We start from the raw sequence: 21,043 nt of genomic DNA on the forward strand, positions 1-21,043 counted from the left end.
ATAAAAACTCTTGGCAAATAAAAATAGAAGGGGTCAGCCACAGTGGCTCACGCCTGTAATCCCAACACTTTGGGAGGTCGAGGCGGGCAGATCACCTGAGGCCAGGAGTTCAAGGCCATGCTGGCCAACATGGTGAAACCCTGTGTCTACTAAAAATGCAAAAATTAGCTGGGTGTGGTGGCGCATGCTGTAGTCCCAGCTACTTGGGAGGCTGAGGCATGAGAATCGCTTGAACCTGGGAGGCAGAGGTTATGGTGAGCTGAGATCACTCCACTGCGCTCCAGCCTGGGCAACAGAGCAAGACTTTGTCTCAAAAAAAAAAAAAAGATAAAAAGAAAAATAGAAGGAAAATTCTATAACCTGATAAAGGAAATGTATGAAGCAGCAGAAGCAACAAAAACAACTCCATAGCAAACATAACTTTTTTTTAAATTTATTTTTGAGACAGAGTCTCGCTTTGTTGCCCAGGTTCAAGTGCAGCAGTGCAATCTTGGGTCACTGCAACCTCTGACCCCTGGGTTCAAGCAATTCTGCTGCCTCAGCCTCCCTAGTAGCTGAGATTACAGGCATGTGCTAACACACCTAGCTAGTTTTTGTATTTTTAGTAGAGACAGGGTTTCACCATGTTGGCCAGGCTGGTCTCAAGCTCCTGACCTCAGGTGATCCACCTGCCTCGGCCTCCCAAAGTGCTGGGATTACAGGCATGAGCCACCATGCCTGGCCAAACATAAAATTTAGTGGTAAGAATATACGTGCTTTTCTTTTAATGTCTACTATTATGACATCAGCATTATGCTCAAAATCCTGTCCAGTTCAGTAAAAGCAAACATGAAATAAAGCCAGTAAGAACTGAAAGAGAATAAATAAAACTGGACCAGGTGCGGTGGCTCATGCCTGTAATCCCAGCACTTTGGGAGGCCAGGGCGGGAGGACTGCTTGAGCACAGGAGTTCAAGACCAGCCTGGCCAACATAGAGAAACCCTGTTTCTGGGAAAAAAAAAAAAATCAGGCAAGGCTTGGTCATGGTGTATTCCTGTGGTCGCAGCTACTCAGGAGGCTTGAGCCCAAGAGGTCAAGGCTGCAGTGAGCCATGACTGTGCCACTCCACTCCAGTCTGCATGACAGAGTGAGACCCTGTCTCAAACAAACAAACAAACAAACAAAACCCAACCCCCCTGTTTTTTTACAAATGATATGATTTTGTTTATTCTACAAATAAATAACCAGAACTAATAAGTGCATTGAGTAAGACTGCATATTTACAAAGTCAGTATTTCCATATATCAGCAACAAATAAGATAATTTCAAAATGATTCTATTTATAGTAGAAAACCAAACACCTGTAATTTATCTAATAAAATATGTATAAGAACTTGACACTGAAAGCTTTAAAAGTTATTAAGAAAAATTGAAGCATAAATGGAAGCATATATCATGTTCATGGATTGGAAGACTCAGCATTGCAAAGTCTCCCCAAATTGATAGAGAGATTCAAAGTGATCCCTATCAAATTTCTAGCAGAGTTTTCTTTTTGTGTGTGTGCGTGTATGCAAATGGAAGGCAGATTTTAAGTTTTATGTGAAAATGCAAAGGACTGAGAATTATCAAGACACTCTTGAAGAACAAAGTTGAAATATATACTCTATTGACTATCAAGACATTATAAAGCTGAAGGAGTGATGGTGGTAGGGGTTATCACTTGGATAGATAAAGAGACCAGTGGGGCAAAAGAGAGTCCAGAAATATACATATGGGCCCACGCATAGACACACAGGAACACCTGATTTATAACACAGAAGGCACCAAGACCAGGGGCTCACAGGGGGCTCTTTTTAATAAATGGTGCTGAATGACTGGAAATCCATAAGAAAGAAACAATTCCTACATCTCACTGTCCATTAAAAAAATCAACTCACAGTAGATTGTAGACCTAAGCAAACCTGAGGGTAGGCAAAGAGTTCTTTAGCAGAACACAAAGAATACTAACCACGAAGAAGAGATCTGCACACATTTGCTAAGCCAATAAATTGGACCATTTAATAGCCTCCATTGAAACAAAGAAACCCTTATGAGAGTAAAAAAGCAAGCTGCCCAGTGGGGAGAACATTTGTACACATAAGCTGACCAAGGAGTCACATCTAAAATAGGTAACTCCAAGAATCAATCAGAGAAAGATCGCCCGATAGAACAAATGGGCAAGACTCAAACAGACGTTCCACAAAAGGGAATGGCATTGGCCAATTGACAGGAGATGGCGTTTAACCTCCTCCGCCCTTGGGGAAAGTCACATTGAACCCAGATGAAACCCCACTACACAGGTGCAGAAACGGCTGAGAACGGACACCACCCAGCACGGGCGAGGGTGTGGCACCAGCCGCTGTTGGGGAGCGCACATCCCTGGATAATTCTGGGGAAAGACAGTGCCTGTTACTGTTGAACAGATGCGTGTGCTTCCACCCAGCAATTCCACTCCTACCCACTTGCCTGCCACAGGCACACACAGGCATGGGCATGACAACATCACTCAGAAAAGGCCCAGAGACAGCACAGTGGGACCCGAGTTGTCGCATGTTCTTAGAGTCAGAGGCCACTCAGCAATCTAGAGGCCACGTCAGGGACCGGCCTCCCTCCAGGGAGAAGTCAGGGTCTCTTCTCCAGGGAAGGAGGCAGGCACAGGGGCTAGGCAGGGGCATGTGGGGGCTTCTGGGATGTCGGTGGTCACGTAAGTCTTGATCTGAGGGGTGATTGTGTGGATGTGTTCACTCTGGGGCGATTCTGAACATCATAAATGCATTGTAAACCAAATGTCCCCAAACCCTGGGCTCCTGGACGCTCCCCTGAACCTGCCGCTGTGATGTCTCCACGGCAACCTCAGGCCATCTGAGCTCTCTCACTTCCATATTTAGTCCTTTTGCAAACCCTGTTGGCTCCACTTCCAAAATCAACCCCAAAGCCACCTCCACCACGGGCACCCCCCTTGGCAGAGCTGCCATCTCTTGCCCGGGCTACGTGGCAGCCTCTGATTGGCTTCTCTGCCACCTGCCCCGTCCCCTTCACTCACTCTTACTTGTGAACCAGGTCACGTCCTGTCATACCCCCACTCCTCTCGGGCAGAGTCTGAGACTTTCAAGTGGCCCCCGAGGTCGGACACGGCATCCCCCGCTTTACTTCCTACTCCATCTCTCTCTAGCCCCGGTGCTCATTAGCTGGGAGTCCCTGCCCCAGACTCTTGGGGAACTGCTGTGTGAGCCACACTGGCCCCAGATGGCCATGGCCCTTGGTTCTCTGCAAGGCTTTACCTCCTGTCTGCTGTCCTGGCTGAGCTCATCCTGCCCCCTTTCTGGCTTTCTGACACGTTTTAGAGGTCACTCCGCTTTTCTGTCCCTCTCCCGCACCGGAACCTCGATCGAGATAGGCCTTTGTTTGGGAAGGGGATAAAGCCCAGTGCCAGAGCAGAGCCTGGCCCCACTGCGTGTGTTCTGGGCAGCGGGGTGTTGGGGAAGGTGTGTCCCCGCAGGCCAGCCCTGGGGACCAGAACCGATCTAGGGACCACCAGCCTTCCAAGGCACTAGGTGCCCTGGGGCGAGGCTCTCCCCAGAGTCTCTCTGTCTTGCCCTTGGCAAGAGCTGTGGCTCCAGACACTCAGGGACATACTCTGGTTGAGGGGGCAGGGGCTTTGGACCCCCTTCTGCCCTTGCCCTCCCCCCACTGACTTGGGCACCCTTTGCCGAAGCTGCACGCCTGCGCCTCCTGGGGGAGGAGGCCCTCGAGAAGGCCAGCTGCTCCAGCAGGGTGAGAGTCGGCTGAGGGAGTGGGGGACTTGCCCCTTCCCAGGCTGGGCTGCTCCTCTCCAGCCCCCACCTCAAAGCACAGGGCGGTGCCTGGCCTGGGCACTGGGCAGGGGAGCGCCTGAGGGTGTGGCCAGGGGGAACTGCTACCCTCAGGGCAGGCAGGACTGGGAGGAAGCACCCTGCTAAGGTTCTGAGCGGGACTTGGGGTCTGAGAGCCCTGGGTGGGACCCTGTACACCCCCACACATCAGCAGCCCCCTGAGGCCTCCGTTTCCTGCTCAGAAGACCGGGGCCATCACAGCACCGCACAGATGGGTGACTCTGTTCCAGGATGGCACAGTTGGCACTGCTGTCCCAGTGACATTAGTAATCGTGCTGGTGCTGCTCTGCAGCAAGTTTGGGTGATCAGGTACAGGGTCTCCCTGCTCGGGGATGGGGAATGTTTCTGAGCTTAAATGCCAGGCAACGTGCCCTCTCAGAGGGCCGCTTCCATGTCCCCCACGAGTCTCCACCCGGCCAGTGCCGGCCTCCTGTGTGGTGTGGCCTCACCTTCAGGCCAAACTGGCTTTGCAGCTCCTCCAGTCCCATCCGGTGGTACAAGGCGATGACGTCGTGTCTCTCCTCCTGGGGTACCGTGGCCTGTGCCGGGGATAGCAGTCACACGGGCGGGTGGCCAGGATGCCCCCTGGGGCTCCTGGCCCAGTCCCTGCCTGCTACCGGCCCACCCAGCACCCCCTCACCTTGGCCAGCCACACCGCCTGGGGCTCCCAGCCCACTCGCTGCCCGCTCCCCACCCGCCCCGGCCCCCTTACCTTGGCCAGCTGTGTCTCCAGCTCCAGCACCTGCACCATGTCCTCCTGCACCAGGCAGCTGTCCCTGGGCAGGTTTGCATCCTCCCGCAGCAACGTGGCCACTGACACCATGAACTGCAGGTAGGCTTCCCGCACCTGGGCCAAAGGACGCCGGGCAGAGCTGGGTGGCCTCAGCCACCATGGCCCCCAGGGAGTTTTCTGTGGGGGTGGGGTGGGCGTAGGACATGGGGAAGCCCCTAATGCGTGTCCACCCACCTTGACCAGCAGGCTCTCGGGCACACAGAGTGCCGAGTGGGAGCGTCTCAGACGCGTGACCTGTGCCCGAGCCACTGGACGGGGTACCTAGTCTGCAGGGCTGCTCAGGGCTTAAACTGTGTGGCTGCCTATAAGGGTTTGCACAGGTGGGTGCTGGGGCTCTCAGTGCTGGGGTTGGGGTGCTGGGCTTGGGGTGCCAGGGCTAACTTGGGCCTGCCGGGGCTGTGGGTGCCAGGGTGGTGGGTGCCGGGGTGGTGGGTGCCAGGGCTAATTTGGGCTTCCCTACCCAGGTGCTTCCCGGCCTGAGTGTCTGGAGTGGGATCCTGAGGAAGTTTGCTCCTCAGGGAGCTGCCTTCCTCGCGCTGGGCAGGGCTTCCCCAGTGCAGGCCAATGCTCTGGCCAGGCTTGGCCCATAGCTGCCTGGTCTGAACACATGGCCAGACATGGCGCTTTTGAGACACTCCAGTCCCTCCTGCTCTGGCGTGGTTCTCTCAGCCCCACTGCTCCACCTTTGGCCACACGGCCCTTCCTCTGGGCTTGGTCATCCTTCAAAGTCTAGTTCATAGCCCACCTCCACCAGGAGGCCCCCTGGATTGTGTCTGGCCCTCTGGGGCATTCATGCCTCATGCCTGTTCACCTCTGCCCTGGTGCTGGATGCCTTGCCCTCCTCACCTGCTCCCTGTCCTTCCCCACCCTTCCCTGCACCCTGGGCTAGCCCTGGGCCTGCCAGCCTCAAGGTCCCCTTGTCCACAGTGGGGGTCCTCATCCCTCCCCTCTCTTGACAGCCCCTTGAGATGGAGCAGGCTCGGGGCCCAGCTGCCTGCACTCAGATCTCCAGGGGCCCTCCTGGGAATCCGGTGCTGCAGAGCCTGGGTCTGTACTGACGGGAGGGGGATGACAGTTCTGCCCCATGGGGCTGCTGCTGAGCTGAGCTTGTCCCCAGGCCTGGCCCGGGTGTTGAGGGAACGTCCCCCAGGATGGTGGCAAGCAATAGGTCACGTCTGCACCCGCCACCCTCAGTGCCGGGCTCAACCTCCACAGGTGCTCACTAACACCAGCTTCGGGGAGGGAAGGCCAGGTGGGCAACGGGAAGGCCAGACCACGGGGTAGGGGGTGATGGGGGGGTCATCTGGCATTGCGGTGAGGACCCACCCACCTTCCGGTTGCTGCCGCCGTTGAAGTAGTACTCTCGGGAGGGCATGCCCAAGGTGGGCTGGTCTATCTGGAAATACAGAAGGTGTGACCCTGGGCAAGGGGCCCGGGGTCCCCGCAGCCTGGCTGAGGCAGGCTGCAGCCGCCTCCCCACAGGACTGTGCCCCGTGCACACGTGCTCTGCCCAGGAGCTGGTGGTGGAGCTTGTGCCGGACCCGGGAGGCCAGACCCTGCCCCGAGTGATGGTGGGGGCGCTGGGCTGGACTGGAGAGGGTGGCGGGGGTGGGGTGGGGAGGGGTTCAGGCTGTCCCGGGCCTCGCAGCACCCGCGGCTCCCCCAGAGTGGGGCGCGTATTTGTTTCGTGTGTTTCTCTTTGGCCTCCAGCCCGTGGCCAGCAGTGGATCCCTGAGGTCAGGCCTCCTGCCCCGGTTCCAGCCCCGCTGTTCAGGAGCCCCCGCCCCTCTGACCAGAACCGGGTTCTACTGTGGCCCCCAGCTTGGCCAGGAGGCCCAACAGAAACTCCAGCAGCAGCAGCTCGTTCCCGGGCCCACGGACGTGGACAGGAGCCAGGAGCCCAGGTCCCAGGAGACCCCGGAGCTCCCTGTCGGCCTGGCCCATCCTTCTGCTGTGCTGCAAGAGCCCCCAGCCAGGCTTGGGGACCCTGCCTACCCCTGCCCACCGGCGCGGCTCGTACGTAGATGATGTGCCGGCTGGAGTTCTGGTCGTCGTTCCAGATGAAGAGGTCGATGAGGACGCGCCTGTTGAACTGTGAGTTCATCAGCGCCAGCTGCCGCTCCAGCTCCCACTCGAGTCCTGGGGAGACAGTGCCCCGCACTGGAGACTGGCGGGCCCTGGGGCCCCAGCCCGGCCCCTTGTCGGTGAATCTGGCCTCCGGAGCCAGGAACTAGGGGGCCATAGGGTGGGGAGCTCACCTGTGCGCCTTAGGGGCTGGGGGATGTGGGAGACACTTTCCCTAACAGCCCAGGAGCCACAGGCGGGCCCCCAGGTGACCGGAGGGGGTTGGGAGCAGCATGGGGTTGTCAGGGCTGCCAGCCACGTGAGGTGCCACTCCTGCCCCCGGGGGAATGGAGCACATGCTCAGAGTGGGGAGCCCTGGGGCCAGGGCCTGGCCGGAGCCTGGCTGGGGCCTGAGTGTCGAGCGCTCCTAGGGGCCGAGGAGGGGCACCCCTCTGCAGGGCTGGATGGGACTGGCCACGGGGCACCAACTCCCCAGCATGGAACCTAAACCACCTCCCAGGACCCTGAGGTTGCCCCGGCTGGGTTGGGCCTCTTGGGGCTCCTGAGAGCAGCCAGCTGGGGGTGGGGGTGGGGTCCCCTCCTGGAAGGCCTCAGACCGAAGGAGCCCTGGTCCTGGTCCTCCTTTGTCTGTCTGTGAGGCTGCTGCCAGGCCCGGCCTTACCTACGGTCTCGTTCCACCTGTCCATCGCCACCGGCCAGCCTCCCACCACCTCCAAGATGTCCAGCAGGGGCTGAGAGCCTCGCTTCTCTATCACACCTGAGAAGGGACGCAGTGGTCACTCTCCCAGCCTCCCTGTGGCTCACGTGCCACGACACAGAACTGTGGGGGCGCCGTTGGCCGGCGTCACAGGTCCCCACAGCCCCTGCAGTGCTCCGCGAGAGGCGGCCTCCCAGCCTCTGGGCCTTTACACCTGCACCCTCCCGTCACAGGTCAGCATCTTGGCAGCTCTGCAGCGCAGGAGGCGGAGGCTGAGACTGGACACGGGCGTGAAAGGAGACCTGGGGGCTGAGAAAAGCACATGAGCCCCGGGGGACAAAGAGGATGATGGGAGGCAGCCCCTGGGGCCTGGGAGCCGGCCAGCAGGCGAGGAGCCTGGGAGAGGAGAGGAGGCTCTGGGATCAGGCCAAGCCTCGGCGAGGACTCAGGCAGCGGTGGGTGGGCTGGGAGGGGGCGCGGGGTAGGCAGGGGAGCCCTGGGGCCTGTGTGTGTCCTGTGTCTCGGCTCAGCACGGTGGGGCCCCGACAAGCAGGGCTTTTGCAGTCGAAGATTAGGTAAAGGTGGGGACGCGGAGATAGTCACTGTGGGAATAAGTGAAGACCACCCACAGGGCAAAGTGAAGGCTTCAGTGCTGGCACAGCATGGCAGGTGCCCCGTCAGGTCAAAGGCCTGCAGGGAGCAGCAGGGCTTCCTAGTGGAAGAGGGGAGGCCCGAGTGGGCTGAGTGGGGGCTGCTGGCCTGGGGAGGCTGTGGCGGGCTCACTAGAGGCCGGCCTCCTCTGGGCTTGGCTAGGGTCCTATGCTGGAGGAAGGGACAGACATTCCAGGGGAGGCTGCCTGTGATGAGGCAGGCCCCGGCTGTTAGGGGCCGGATGCCGTGGGGAGTGCCGTCTGACCTCCTGGGCTGCCCACTGGGGATAAAGGGCTGGGTTCCCGGCTGGGCTGCCGGTCCTGAGTTGCGTTCCAGTTTTCCACATGGTCTGGCCCCTGCCGTTTGTATATTCAGCCTCTCAGGCCAAAAATTAAGTAAAGGCGAGGACACAGGAAGTCATCTCCAGCTGGGAGTATTGCCCAGAATGGGGGCCCAGCCTTCTGTTTCCATGGGGAGGAGACAAGCCCAGCGCACCCAAGCAGGGGTCTCACGGAGACGCCCCCTAAAGCCAGGGTCCCAGCGAGTTCCACAGTCAGGCGGAGGCTCCACGAGACCCCCTGGGCAAAACAACCAGCCCTGAACCCTGGTGCTCAGCGGAGAAGCTGTCTCTACAGCAGCCACAACCACAGGTTGGGCCTGCAGACCCCCAAGTGGAGGAGTTAAACGGTGCTGGGCCGGGGGTGCTCCAAGCACGTGAATTCCTTTAATAGGAACTGAAACATGGATAATCTGCCCCCCACACCACACACACACATCCACATACATCCACATGCACACACAAGCACATATGACACACATACAGCACACACATAACATGTATACACACATAACACATATACACACATACACATACACACATACACATACACACATATACACATGTACACAAGTACACACAGCACATATATATACAGTACACACATATACACATAACACACACATACATGCACACACAACATACACATATGCACACACAACACACCCATAGAATACACACATATACACATACATGCATGTGCACATAATACACATATACACTATACACAATACACATGTGACATGCACGTAACACACATGTGCACACAATGCACACACATATGTACACACCGCATGCATATACATATACACATATACATAACAACACACATACATGCATACACAACACATGTACCCACATGTACACATGCACAAACCACATGTAACATATATAGATACATGCATGAACACATATATACACATACACGTATACACATATACATACACAATATACATACATATACACACAACACACACATATGCATATAAATGTATAATATGCATGCACATATATACACATACTCATATCCATATAATACACACACACACACACACACACACACACACACACACACACACACACAGTCTTCCTGCAGCCTGGAACGTGTGGCCTGTGCTGGGGTTGGGGTGTGAGTGAGGCCGCAGGGCAGCTGGCATTACTGCGAGCCTGGACCCTGTGGCTGGGAGCGGGACACAGCACATAGACCCTCTGGCATGAGTCCTAAAGGCACCCACTCCTACCCTAGGGGCAGCCATGGGGTCCTGGGGCTGCGCTAGGCCCTGGCAGGGGCAGCCCGCCCCCGTCCCCTGCCTCGGCCCCTTCCTGGCGGCCCCCACTCACTCTGGTTCATGCAGGAGCGGTACAGCGTCCTGGCCTTCTCCACAGCCGGCCGGTCCTTGGCAGTCGAATTCTCCAGCACCGCTGTGGGCACAGGAAAAGGTTGGACAGAGGCCTGACGAGGCTGCAGGGGCCAGGTCACAGGTCCCTACACCCCCTGAAGTGCTCGGCGAGAGGCGGCCCCCCAGCTGCTGGGTCTTTATTCCCTCTCCTCTGCGCCCACTGGACCAAGGAGGAAGCACAAACAGGGGCGAGACACAGCCAGGACCAACTCCTGGCCCGGTGCTGTCCTGTTCGGCGTCACCCCACTGCACCCCCGGCCGTGCTCTGCCACCTTTGAGGATGACCTCCAGCTCGTCGCGGAGGACGTCAAAGATGCTGTATCTTGAGTTGGTCTCAGGGATCACGTGGCGCCGCAGCCAGCCTCCGCATGCAAACTGGTAGAAGTCGTCACACGGTTCCGTGGTCGGGTCCATGTTCTGGAGGATCCTGGCAGCTGCTCGTCCCCATGGCGTGGAGCAGGGAGAGGGGAGACAGAGAGAGTTGTGGACAGCCCAGAAGCCTGTCTCCCGGTCCAAGACACAGCCTGGTCCCTTGGGAAGGGGCTGCTGTCCATCCAGTCGCAGCTGTGTGCCCAGGGAGAGTTAACCACCCTCTCTGAGCTGCAGAGAGGGAATCCCCCAACCTGGATTCAGTGCTAGGGTTTTCACTTATTTATTTTTAGAGACAGGGTCTCACTCTGTTGCCCAGGCTGGAGTGCAGTGGCGTGATCACAGCTCACTGCAGCCTTGAACTCCTGGGCTTAAGCAATCCTCCCACTTCAGCCTCCTGAGTAGCTGGGATAACAGATGTGTGTCTCCTCTCCCGAATGCCTTTTTAAAAAATTTATTTTAGAACAGGGTCTCGCTGTGTTGCCCAGGCTGGTCTGGAACTCCTGGGCTCAAGTGGTCCACCTCGGCCTCCAGAGTTGCTGGGAATTCAGGCATGAGTCGGCTGGGTTTTCACTTATTAACCACTTGATCTTGAACCCCAAACCCTCCGAGACTCATTTCCTTGTCTGTGAATCCGGGAACACCAGCGGTCTGACTTGCAGGCTGAGGCGATGGCTGAGATGGTGCCAGCTCACAGGAGGTGCTCAGCTGGTGACCATGCCCTGTAAGCCGGGCCCAGCTCCTGGCTGTCCGCCAGGGCCTTTCTGTTCTGACTCTGCCCCCTGCCCCCTCACTCATCAGTGTGCTTGGTCCCCAGAGGGAGGGACGACTCTTACCACCATGGGGGTTTGTATTCTGCTAGAGGGGTTGGCTTTGCCCCAGGAACCCCGAATGTGCACAGGACAGGGGAGACCCAGGCTTCCCACTGAACGCTTTCAACTGGGGTAGCTGGGCTGCACCCCCCGACCAAGAACCGTCCCTCAAATTCTGTCCAACTTGGTCTTGGCCACTCCACCTCTGGGGCTGGGGACCTCACGGAAGGCGTGTCCACAGGCCCCCCAGCCCCCAGCACGGGCAGAAAAGCCACAGTCCAGAGCTTCTCCACTATTGGCGCTTTCACAGCATGTTAACAGTTTTTGTCATCTGCAAATAGCGGTACCTGACCCCCAATTTTAAGACAAATGCCTGGGAGAAAATCTGAAATAAGAAAGTGGCTATTCATTGAACCTTTCTTTCTATAAATGTGGACAAAAGCCGCTGGGGTTCTTGGCACGGGATGCTGTTGCTGCAGGGCCTGGCTGCTGGAGGCTGGGGACTGGGGGCCCAGCGGACGCCAGATGCCAGAAACACCAGCTCCGCCCGCTCCACAGCGAGTCCGAGTCCGGCCCACCCGGCTCCACCGCCCGCCGTGTCTTGGAGTTGCTTCCCTGGGCCTTGGGCGGGGCCTACGTCAGTGTCAGCCGGGAGCCCCCAGCCCTTGGGCAGGCTGTGGACGGCAAGGGGGCGGGGCTTACCTGCTATCACGCAGCCAGGGGTGGTGCAGACCTCGCTCACCTCTTGGGCCTCTGGGATCCCTGCGGGCAAGGAGCAGCCTGAGCACCGGGAGCCACGGAGAGGGTGGGGCAGGACTGGAGTGGGTGTGGGCGGGGCAAGGTCTGGTGGGTGTGGCATGGGGATGGGCATAGACTGGGGTGGGCGGGGCAAGGTCAGGGTGGGTGGAGCATGGGCTGAAGCCAGTAGGGCAAGGCCAGGGTAACCAAAGCATAGTCTGGTGGGGGTGGGGTGTGGCCCTCCACCCCATCTTCCATCCCCATGGGTGGTCCAGCCTGGCAGCCCAAGTCCTCCCCAGGTGGCCCAGGCCTGAGGCCTTCAGTGATAGTGAGCTTCGTTCTTTGTCCTTGACCGCTGCAGGGACCTGGGAGCCCCTTTACACCCTCTGCCTCCATGTACCCCCACAGCTGCCCCAGGCCCCAAGGGCTGAAGCCGGCCATTCTGCCCTCCTGCCTTCTGCCCAGCCCACTCTCACCTGCTGCCAGGGCCAGCTCCTCCAGGCAGCCTGCCTTGCTGCCCCTCTCTGCATGCCCTGCCCCGGCCTGCCCCACCCCTGTGCCAGCTGGTGGAATTGAATGTGCTGAGGCCACGCAGGAGCAGGTGCGGAGTGTCCACAGTGCCCAGTAAGCCTCCTGCGTCCAGCAGGTGCACCCAGCTGAGGTCCCTGCCACTGTCCTCTCCCCATGGCCCTCCTCCGGCACATGAGGGTTGGGCAGAACCCAGCCCCTGCCCCTCCACGGAGTCCCCCCACCTTGGGAGGCCAGCGCCCACCTGCCTGGGGCTGTTTTGGAAGGGAAGGCAAAGGCTACCTCGGGGTTTTCGTTTTACAAAGGTCCTCTCCTCCTGTAAGAAGCACAGCCGGCTAGCAAGGCGTGGCAGCTGCTTCCCTGGGGAGAAACACAGCGCTCAGCTGCGGCCTCCTGCCTGCAGCTCCCTGGGGGTGCTGGGGGCCTCCCTGGGTCAGCACGCCATCTTCCCACAGTGCTGGGTGCTGCAGCCCTACCCCTGTAGTGAGGGCTGGTCCCCAGGGCAGCGAGACAGGAGATCCACAGAGTTCACTGCAGGGGCCAGCTTCAATCTGTGTCCTGCTGGGCTTGAATGGGGGGCGGTTTGCCCTGCCTTGCCAGCCCCACCCTTTAATTCTCCCTCCACCCACCCCAAGGTCCCCGATGTGCCAGGGCCTAGAGGGGTCCTGAGGTGAGACCTTCCTCTTCCCGACAGCCTCCTCTACCTCAGGATCTTCCTGACCCTGACAAGGCCCACACAAGGTGGCACGCTCCTGGAGTCCCACAGGGCAGGCTCATTTAGAGGGACAGGGCCTTTTCAGAGAGGGTGGCTTCCCACTAATGACCCTTGTCCCTAGCCCCTCCACCCTCACTGCTGCTGAAGGTGCCAAGCCACCCTCCCTCCATCTCTCTACTGCCTGCTGGGAGGGGCCTGCCTGGTCAGCATCGGGGGCTCCTGGGATGGCTGTCAACTGCCTGGAGAGATGTATGGGAGAGGAGGGTGGGATGGAGAGAAGAGGGGACCCCAGGTCCAGAGAGGTGACAAGCCAGGCCTGGCTACCTTCAGACCTGGCTTGTGGCCGAATTTCCCCAGCAGTGAGGTACACAGAGGACTGAATGGAAGGAGGGAACAGGGCTCGTTCAGGTCAGGGCTGTTGGCAGGCCTGGAACCTGGCCTAGCCCTGGGCAGAGACTGCAGAGAGGGTGCTAGAAGCCACAAAAATATCAGCTCCTTGGGGGCCTGGCCATTCAAAAAGCCATTAGTGAAACACTGGATGATGACTGTGAGCCAGGCCAGATGCTGCAGTTCAGATGTGAGCCTGACAGGGCCCAGCCCTCAAGGAGCCCCCCGCCCGGTGGAAACAGGGAGAAAGTGCCGCATGCTGCATACACCGAGGTAAAGTGCTGAAGGGCAAGGCTGAGCTTCAGAGCAAAGGAATCCCCCAGGCCAGCAACGGAAAGGAGGTGGTGAGTGCGAGCGGAAGGCATGGCTGCCCTGTGGTGTTTGCCAATTGCAGTAACCCAGAGCCTATGGACCAGAGACTGGACTGTGGACTCCAGAGGGCCTCACCTCAGCAAAAGAGTGGATTCGAGGGACATCACCTCTGACCAAAGTGGTGACAAGGAGGGCAAGGGCTTTCTGCTTCTGATTAGGATGCAGAAAGTTGAAATTGACTGTGGCCCCCACCCTAGCCAGGAGAGCAAGCTGGAGAACCTACAGCATGGGCACTTTTAGAAACCCACGAGAGCTGAGGACATAGAGAAACCAGCATGAGTCAAATTCCAGGGAGGAATGAAGCCTTCCCAGGAGAGGAGAGGCCTGTGGCTGCATTGCCTTTGGAGTCAAAGCATGAGGAGGGGCACATGCGCCTGGCAAGGACGTTCAAGCATGGCGGCATACGTCTGTAGTTCCAGCTACTTGGGAGGCTGAGGTGGGAGGACTGCTTGAGCCCGGGAGGTTGAGGCTGCAGTGAGCTGAGATTGCACCACTGCACTCCAGCCTGGGAGACAGAGTGAGACCCTGTCTCAAAATAAAAACAAAAACAAAAAACAAAAAACAAAAAACTATGAGCTACATACTGTCTGATTCCAATTATGTGACATTCTGGAAAAACAAAACTTTAGAGAGGAGAGATGTTAAATAGTAGTTGCCAGGAGTTTGGGAAAATGGATGTTGAAGAGGTTGAATAGGTGAAGAACAAGGGAGTTTTGGGGGCAAAAAATGACAAATAGTGAATGCATTTGGCAGGGCAACTATTCTGTACGATACTGTGGTGGTGAATGGTGAACCCATTTGTCAAAACCCACAGAATGTTATAGCACAAAGAGTAAACCTTATTGTATGCAAAGTTAAAAAATTATTTAGACTGTCAGGGGAATCCCAGGATGAAACGCAGAATGAGACTCAAGACAAATGTATAAAACAATCTCACTGAAATGGATAGGGGAATAAAGTGTTGACCTAAGTAACTTTAGAAATGAGTAGAGTCTATGAGACTAAAGCAAAGGAAGCTGTACATAAGCGCTGTACTCTAGTTGATAAAGTTGTCCTACATGGGATCCCAGCTGAACTCTGAAACCACTGCACATGTACATTGGAATGGAAAAAGTAAGTGGATAGCAGGTGGCTGGGCTTATTGCTGCTGCAGTGAGAAGTTACAGACAAGGAAAGGAGGAAGTCAGAATGGTCCATGTGGTGGTGGAGTAGAGTTGGAGACAACAGTGTGAACTCATTTTTAGCTTAATATAGATGCAGATGGTTGCATATATAAATATTTATAGATATGAGTATCTAGATGGGTTCATGTATACATACATATTCCTTTGCTCTGCCAGGTGAGCTAGACTAGAAGCAACACCAACCAAGGAGTAGCAATAAGCAAAGAATAGGACCCAGCTCTTGGTTTCTGTTTGTTTTTCAGACACCACATTATCCTAGAAGCTGTTGGTTTTTGATACCATTATCCGATAAAAGAAGCCAGGGCTCCTTAGAAAAATGGTTGATTATACAACTGGGGTAGGAAACATACGAGATGAGCTTGGAGCATGTTGAAATGTCAAAAAGTAAGAAAGTGCTCCCCCCCAAAAAACTCACCCCAAATTCACGATAATGGGGATACATCAGAGGGTCATAGAAGCAACTGACAACTCCCAATGGCCAGAGTTAGAACAATTTGAGCAATGCAATATAGCAGTGGATTATAATGCAAAGTGTAAAATAAATATCTACAAATCATTGAGTAAATAAATAAATGAGGGAGAATAGATGAATCTCTCATACAGAAGAATGCCAAATACTTTAGGTAGATACTCTGCCTCTAAGGATGTGGAGCATAACTCCCCACTCCTCAGGTGTGAGCTGCACACAGTGGCTTCCTTTCAAAGACTGCACTATGAAAAAGAAGGGAAAAAAGTAACTTGCAGCGCAGAAACCAGACACTACCTCCAGCCAGGCAATTAAGGTTAACATCAACAGTGATAAGTCCAGTCATTGAAAGTGTGCACCTGTGACCTGCGGCCTTCCTCTTCAACACATGTTACCCCAGTCTAATCATGAGAAAACCATTAGGCTAATTCCAACTGAGGGTCATTCCACCTGATCAGTAATCCTCAAGACTGTCAAGATCACAAAAAACAAAAACACAAACAAGAAAACAATGAAAGTCTGAGAAACTGTCACAGCCAAGAGGAGCCTGAGAAGATGTGGCATTCTGGATATGACCCTGGGACGGTAAGAGGACATGAGGGAAAACGGGGAAATGTGAATTGAGTGTGAACTTTAGTTAATAGTAATATTATCACTATTGGTTCACTACTTGTGGCAAATGTATCAGGCTAATGCAAGATGTTCATAATAGGGGAGACTGGGGGTGGGGTATATAGGGATTTCTGTACTATTTTGCAATGCTTCTGTAAATCTAAAATTGTTCTAAATTTTTGAAATATTACGGAAGGAAACCTGAACAGAAGATCTCAGACCTGTAGGACAATGTTAAATGGCTTAACATATATGTAACTAGAGACTCAGAGAGCAATATTTGAAGAGATACTGACCAATAAATATTTAAAGTTGGTAAAAGATATAAATCTACCCCAAGAAGGGCAGTGTATCCCAAGCTGGGCAAATACAAAGAAAACCATCCAGCAGCATCATAGTCAAACTGTGGAGGACTAAAGATAAAGAGAAATTCAGGATTAAGAATTTCAAGACATACTTAAAAGCAGTCAGTGGGGCTGGGCATGGTGGCTCATGCCTGAATCCCAGCACTTTGCGAGGCTGAGGTAGGTGGATTGCTTGAGTCCAGGAGTTGAGACCAGCCCGGGCAACATGGAGAAACCTTACCTCTATAAAAAAATTATAAAACAAAAATTAGCTGGGCATGATGGTGGACACCTGTGGTTCCAGCTATTTGGGAGGCTGAGGTGGGAAGATCGCTTGAGTCTGGGAGGGGGGATGTTCCAGTAAGCTGTGATTATGCCACTGCCCTCCAGCCTGGGCAACAGAGTGAGACCCTAGCTCAAAAAAAAAAAAAAAAAAGCAGACAAAAAAAGACACATTATATTGAGGGGAACAACAGTAAGAATGACGGTGACCTCTCACCAGAAAGAATGAAGGCCAGAAGATGATGGAATGAGCTCTTTAAGTCCTTGAAAAAAACAATAATACATTATCAGCTTATAATTCTATACCCAGCAAAAACATATTTCAAAAGTGAAAGTGAAATAAAGACATTTTAGACCAAAGCTGAGAACATGTGTCTCTACCAGATGTGCCCCACAACAAATGCTAAAAGGTCTTCACTCAGAAGGGACACGAAACCAGTGGGAAGACCAGATTGGTGGGCAGGAATGATGAGCCTGAGAAAGGGTAAAGAGGGAGCAAAGTGTGACGGGAGACCTGGACCCAAACAGTGCCTCTGATTCATTTGTTTCCCATCTAGTCAGATGTATCCAGAACAAATTAGGACAACTGAAGAGGCGAGTTCATGCCTCCTTCATGCCTGCATCCTGCCTCTACAGCTCCCACGGCATTCCCAACATAGGATTTCCCGTAGCCTTGTTGATGGGGGAAACCCCCAAGGAAATTCACCAGATGCTGCAGATCAAGGGCTGCCTGAGGATGTAGTGAGCTCCTGAGCAGCACTTTCAAAACTGAATTAGATGAGCTAGGCATGTTTTTTCCGTGTCGTCCCTTAACTTACAGTGCCTCACTTAATCATCACAAGGAAGCTGGATCACTTGAGGCCAGGATCACTTCAAGACCAGCCTGGCCAACATGGCAAAACCCCGTCTCTACTAAAAATTCAAAAATTAGTCAGGCGTGGCCAGGCGCGGTGGCTCACGCCTGTAATCCCAGCACTTTGGGAGGCCGAGGCGGGCGGATCACGAGGTCAGGAGATCGAGACCATCCCGGCTAACACGGTGAAACCCCGTCTCTACTAAAAATACAAAAAATTAGCCGGGCGTGGTGGCGGGCGCCTGTAGTCCCAGCTACTCGGGAGGCTGAGGCAGGAGAATGGCGTGAACCCGGGAGGCAGAGCTTGCAGTGAGCCGAGATCGCGCCACTGCACTCCAGCCTGGGCGACAGAGAGAGACTCCGTCTCAAAAAAAAAAAAAAAAAAAAAAAATTAGTCAGGCGTGGTGGTGCATGCCTGTAATCCCATCTACTCAAGAGGCTGAGGTGGGAGAATTACTTGAACACCGTGGGTGGAGGTTGCAGTGAGCTGAGATTGCGCCACTGCACTCCAGCCTGGGCGACAGAGCGAGATTCTATCTCAAAAAAAAGAAGCTTGTGAGGTTCCTCATCTCTACTTTTCTTGGGAAAACTGTTGGGGAGGCAAGATCACACACCCAAGGTCACTTTCCTTGGGGGAGTGGCAGGGCATGAACCTCCAGACCCCATACTGGCATTCGACAGCTCTGTTCTTCTAAGAGAAAAAGCAAAAACAGTGAGACCCTTTTGACACAATGGCTGAAAAGAAACAAAATCTTACCCTAATGCTAAAATATGATCACAGGAAACACAGTCAATGATCTCTCCAAAAGGAGATTTTTCTTTTTCATAATTCCAAAAAGGGCAGCTTTCCTGAATACTCAGTTGACACAGGATCTTCTCTTTGTTCTTTTATATTTGCTTGAATAACTTCTGTAATATGCCAATCATTTTGACATAGGCTTTCTACATTTTAAAAACTATTTTTGACATTTCCTCTGAAGGTTTTGTTTTCCTAAAGTTTTCCAAATGCCTTGATTTGAATAAGACCTCTGCCACGGTTTGGATGTGGTTTATTTTTCCCTACCAAGTCTCATGTTGAAATGTGATACCCAATGTTGGGGGTGGGGCCTGGTGGGAGGTGTTTGGATTGTGGACCTGATTCTTCATGAATGGCTTGGTGCCCCTGAGTGGCTTGAAAAGAGCCTGGCACCTCTTCTCTCTCTCTCTCTCTCTTTCTCTTGCCATATGACCTGCATGCACAGGCTCCCCTTTACCTTCCACCATGAATGGAACAGTCTGAAGTAGATGGGGAGCCATGCTTCCTGTGCAGCCTGCAGAACCATGAGCCAAATCCACCTCTTTTCTCTATAAATTACTCAGTCTCAGGTATTCCTTTAGAGCAACACAAATGGACTAAAACAATCTTGATGTAAATAATTTACATTTTTTTCTTTTCCCTCTCTTCTCCATCCCTCTTTCAGAAGAAACAAAGGCACAAAGAACTTCACAGAGTGGAGAAAGAAACACCCTCCCTGGAGGATGTGTAATCACAGACGGCTTGTCATGCCATTGCCGAGTTTACAGAAATGTGTGGCCAAGGAAACCTCTCGCGGAGAAGCCAATTTAAAGAAACTCCAGGCTGGTAGTGTCCTAAGGTGCCTGATGAAAACAAATACATATTCTCCAGAGGGAACATTTCTCAGCCCAATAACACAGGATCCCCATAGATAAAAGCCAATTTGAATATGTATTTACATTTTTAAAAAAGAAAATCTTACATTAGTGAGAGAAAACAAACAGCAAAACCAGAACCCCAAAGATTGCCAATTAGGAATGATCTGATCCAGAACGTATGGAAGCTGGCACCACTGGCCCTGGATCTGAGTCTTCTCTGCATCCGTGCCTTGGCCATGTGACTCCGTAGTTGCTCCCACAAAAGGGACAAATTATTTTTTTTCTTCTATCTCTTGACTGTGCGTGGCCCAAGTGACTTGCTTTGGCCAACAGAATGAGGTGGGAATGACAGGGTTCCAGTTCTGAGCCTGGGCCCTAAGAGGGCTTTCATGTTTTCACCTGTCCTTTTGGATTTCTTTCACTGCCAGGAGAGGGATCTGCGCAGGAATGCTTGCTGGGCTCTGGTAGGAGGATGAAAGTTACATGGACAGAGCACCCCAGCTGAGCCCAACCTAGGTCAGATGACCCCAGGCAAACAGTGGAGGTGCCTCACAATAAATCATTGTTTTATGCCAGTGAGTGTTGGGCTGGGTTTTAAGACCCCAACTGCTAAAATAAAATAACGTAAGTACGTTTGAAATGCTTCAAAAAGAATCAAAACTAGGCCAGGTGTGGTGGCTCATGCCTGTAATCCTAGCACTTTGGGAGGCCAAGGTGGGCAGATCACTTGAGGTCAGGAGTTTGAGACCAGCCTGGCCAACATGGTGAAACCCCGTCTCTACTAAAATTACAAAAATTAGCCAGGCATGGTGGCGGACACCTGTAATCCCAGCTTCTCAGGAGGCTGAGGCATGAGAATCACTTGAATCCAGGAGGCAGAGGTTGCATGGATCCAAGATCGTGCCACTGCATTCCAGCCTGGGCGACAGAGTGAGACTCTATCAAAAAAAAAAAAAAAAAAAATCAAAAGCAAGAACAAGGAACAATAAAAAATCAATTTGAAAAAGGATCCATTGTAAATTCTAGAAATAAAACCACGTAGTTGTTGAGATTTATAAAACAAAAACAACTACAAACCCAAAAGGCTGAGTTAAGCAACAGACATAACAGAACAGAAGATTTAGTGAAATGAAGTGTAGTTCTAAAGAACTGACCCAGAATGCAGGAGAAAGTCAACAAGATGGAAAATATGAAAGAAAAGCTGAAAGACATGGAGGACAGTGGGAAAAATGGAGCAGATATGCAGTGGAAAATGGAAAAGGAGAGAAAAGGGATATTGTGGGAGATACACCATCCAGGAAGATAACGGGTACAATTTTCCAACATTAATATATGTTATCAGTGCTCAGCTTCAGGAATCACAACAAATCCACAGCAGAATAAATACAAATAATTTCACAGCTAAACAACTCATGATAACAATTCAGAATACCCAAGACAAAGAGAACATAGCTCAAGGAGAAAAGATTGTTCACCCAACAGAGGAGCGGCAGTTAGGCTGACTGTACTTTTCTCTGAAGCCACGTCTGAACAGCAGCAAGGGGAGTCAGAAGGCATGAGAGCTAAATCTTCAAGATATTGAGAGAAAATAACAGCTCAGACTCATTTAACCAATTAAATGATCACTGAAGGACGAGCGCTAAATAAAGTAATTTTCACATAGACAAGAGATAAGAGTTTAATGCTGATAGATTATTTTCAAGCAGGGCTCCCCAAACTTGTCTGATCACAAGCAAGGTCTCAAATGCGTGTGGGATTCAGAGGTCTTACCCTACAAGATTCCCGGGTTTCACTGTTTGGGGCTTGTTATGGACTGACTTTGTGGTTTGAAGCCCTAACCCCTAATGTGACTATTTGGGGATAGGGCCTGTGAGG

General features: G+C 53.4%; 1 protein-coding gene across 1 annotated transcript in view; it reads right to left on the minus strand.

Moving 5' to 3' along the window:
• Positions 1–21,043, minus strand: part of MMEL1 (membrane metalloendopeptidase like 1) — a 42,378-nt gene that overhangs the window by 8,906 nt on the left and 12,429 nt on the right. Inside the window, exons 3-11 of the mRNA NM_033467.4 lie at positions 12,583–12,660; positions 11,737–11,796; positions 10,126–10,287; positions 9,795–9,875; positions 7,430–7,525; positions 6,704–6,822; positions 6,014–6,079; positions 4,603–4,737; positions 4,340–4,429 (exon numbers count right to left, since the gene is read on the minus strand). Of these exons, the coding sequence (NP_258428.2) occupies positions 4,340–4,429; positions 4,603–4,737; positions 6,014–6,079; positions 6,704–6,822; positions 7,430–7,525; positions 9,795–9,875; positions 10,126–10,287; positions 11,737–11,796; positions 12,583–12,660 (887 nt within the window). The remainder of the gene's footprint in view (positions 1–4,339; positions 4,430–4,602; positions 4,738–6,013; positions 6,080–6,703; positions 6,823–7,429; positions 7,526–9,794; positions 9,876–10,125; positions 10,288–11,736; positions 11,797–12,582; positions 12,661–21,043) is intronic.

The sequence above is a fragment of the Homo sapiens genome, chromosome 1, assembly GCF_000001405.40.
Source record: "Homo sapiens chromosome 1, GRCh38.p14 Primary Assembly".
NCBI lineage: Eukaryota > Metazoa > Chordata > Mammalia > Primates > Hominidae > Homo > Homo sapiens.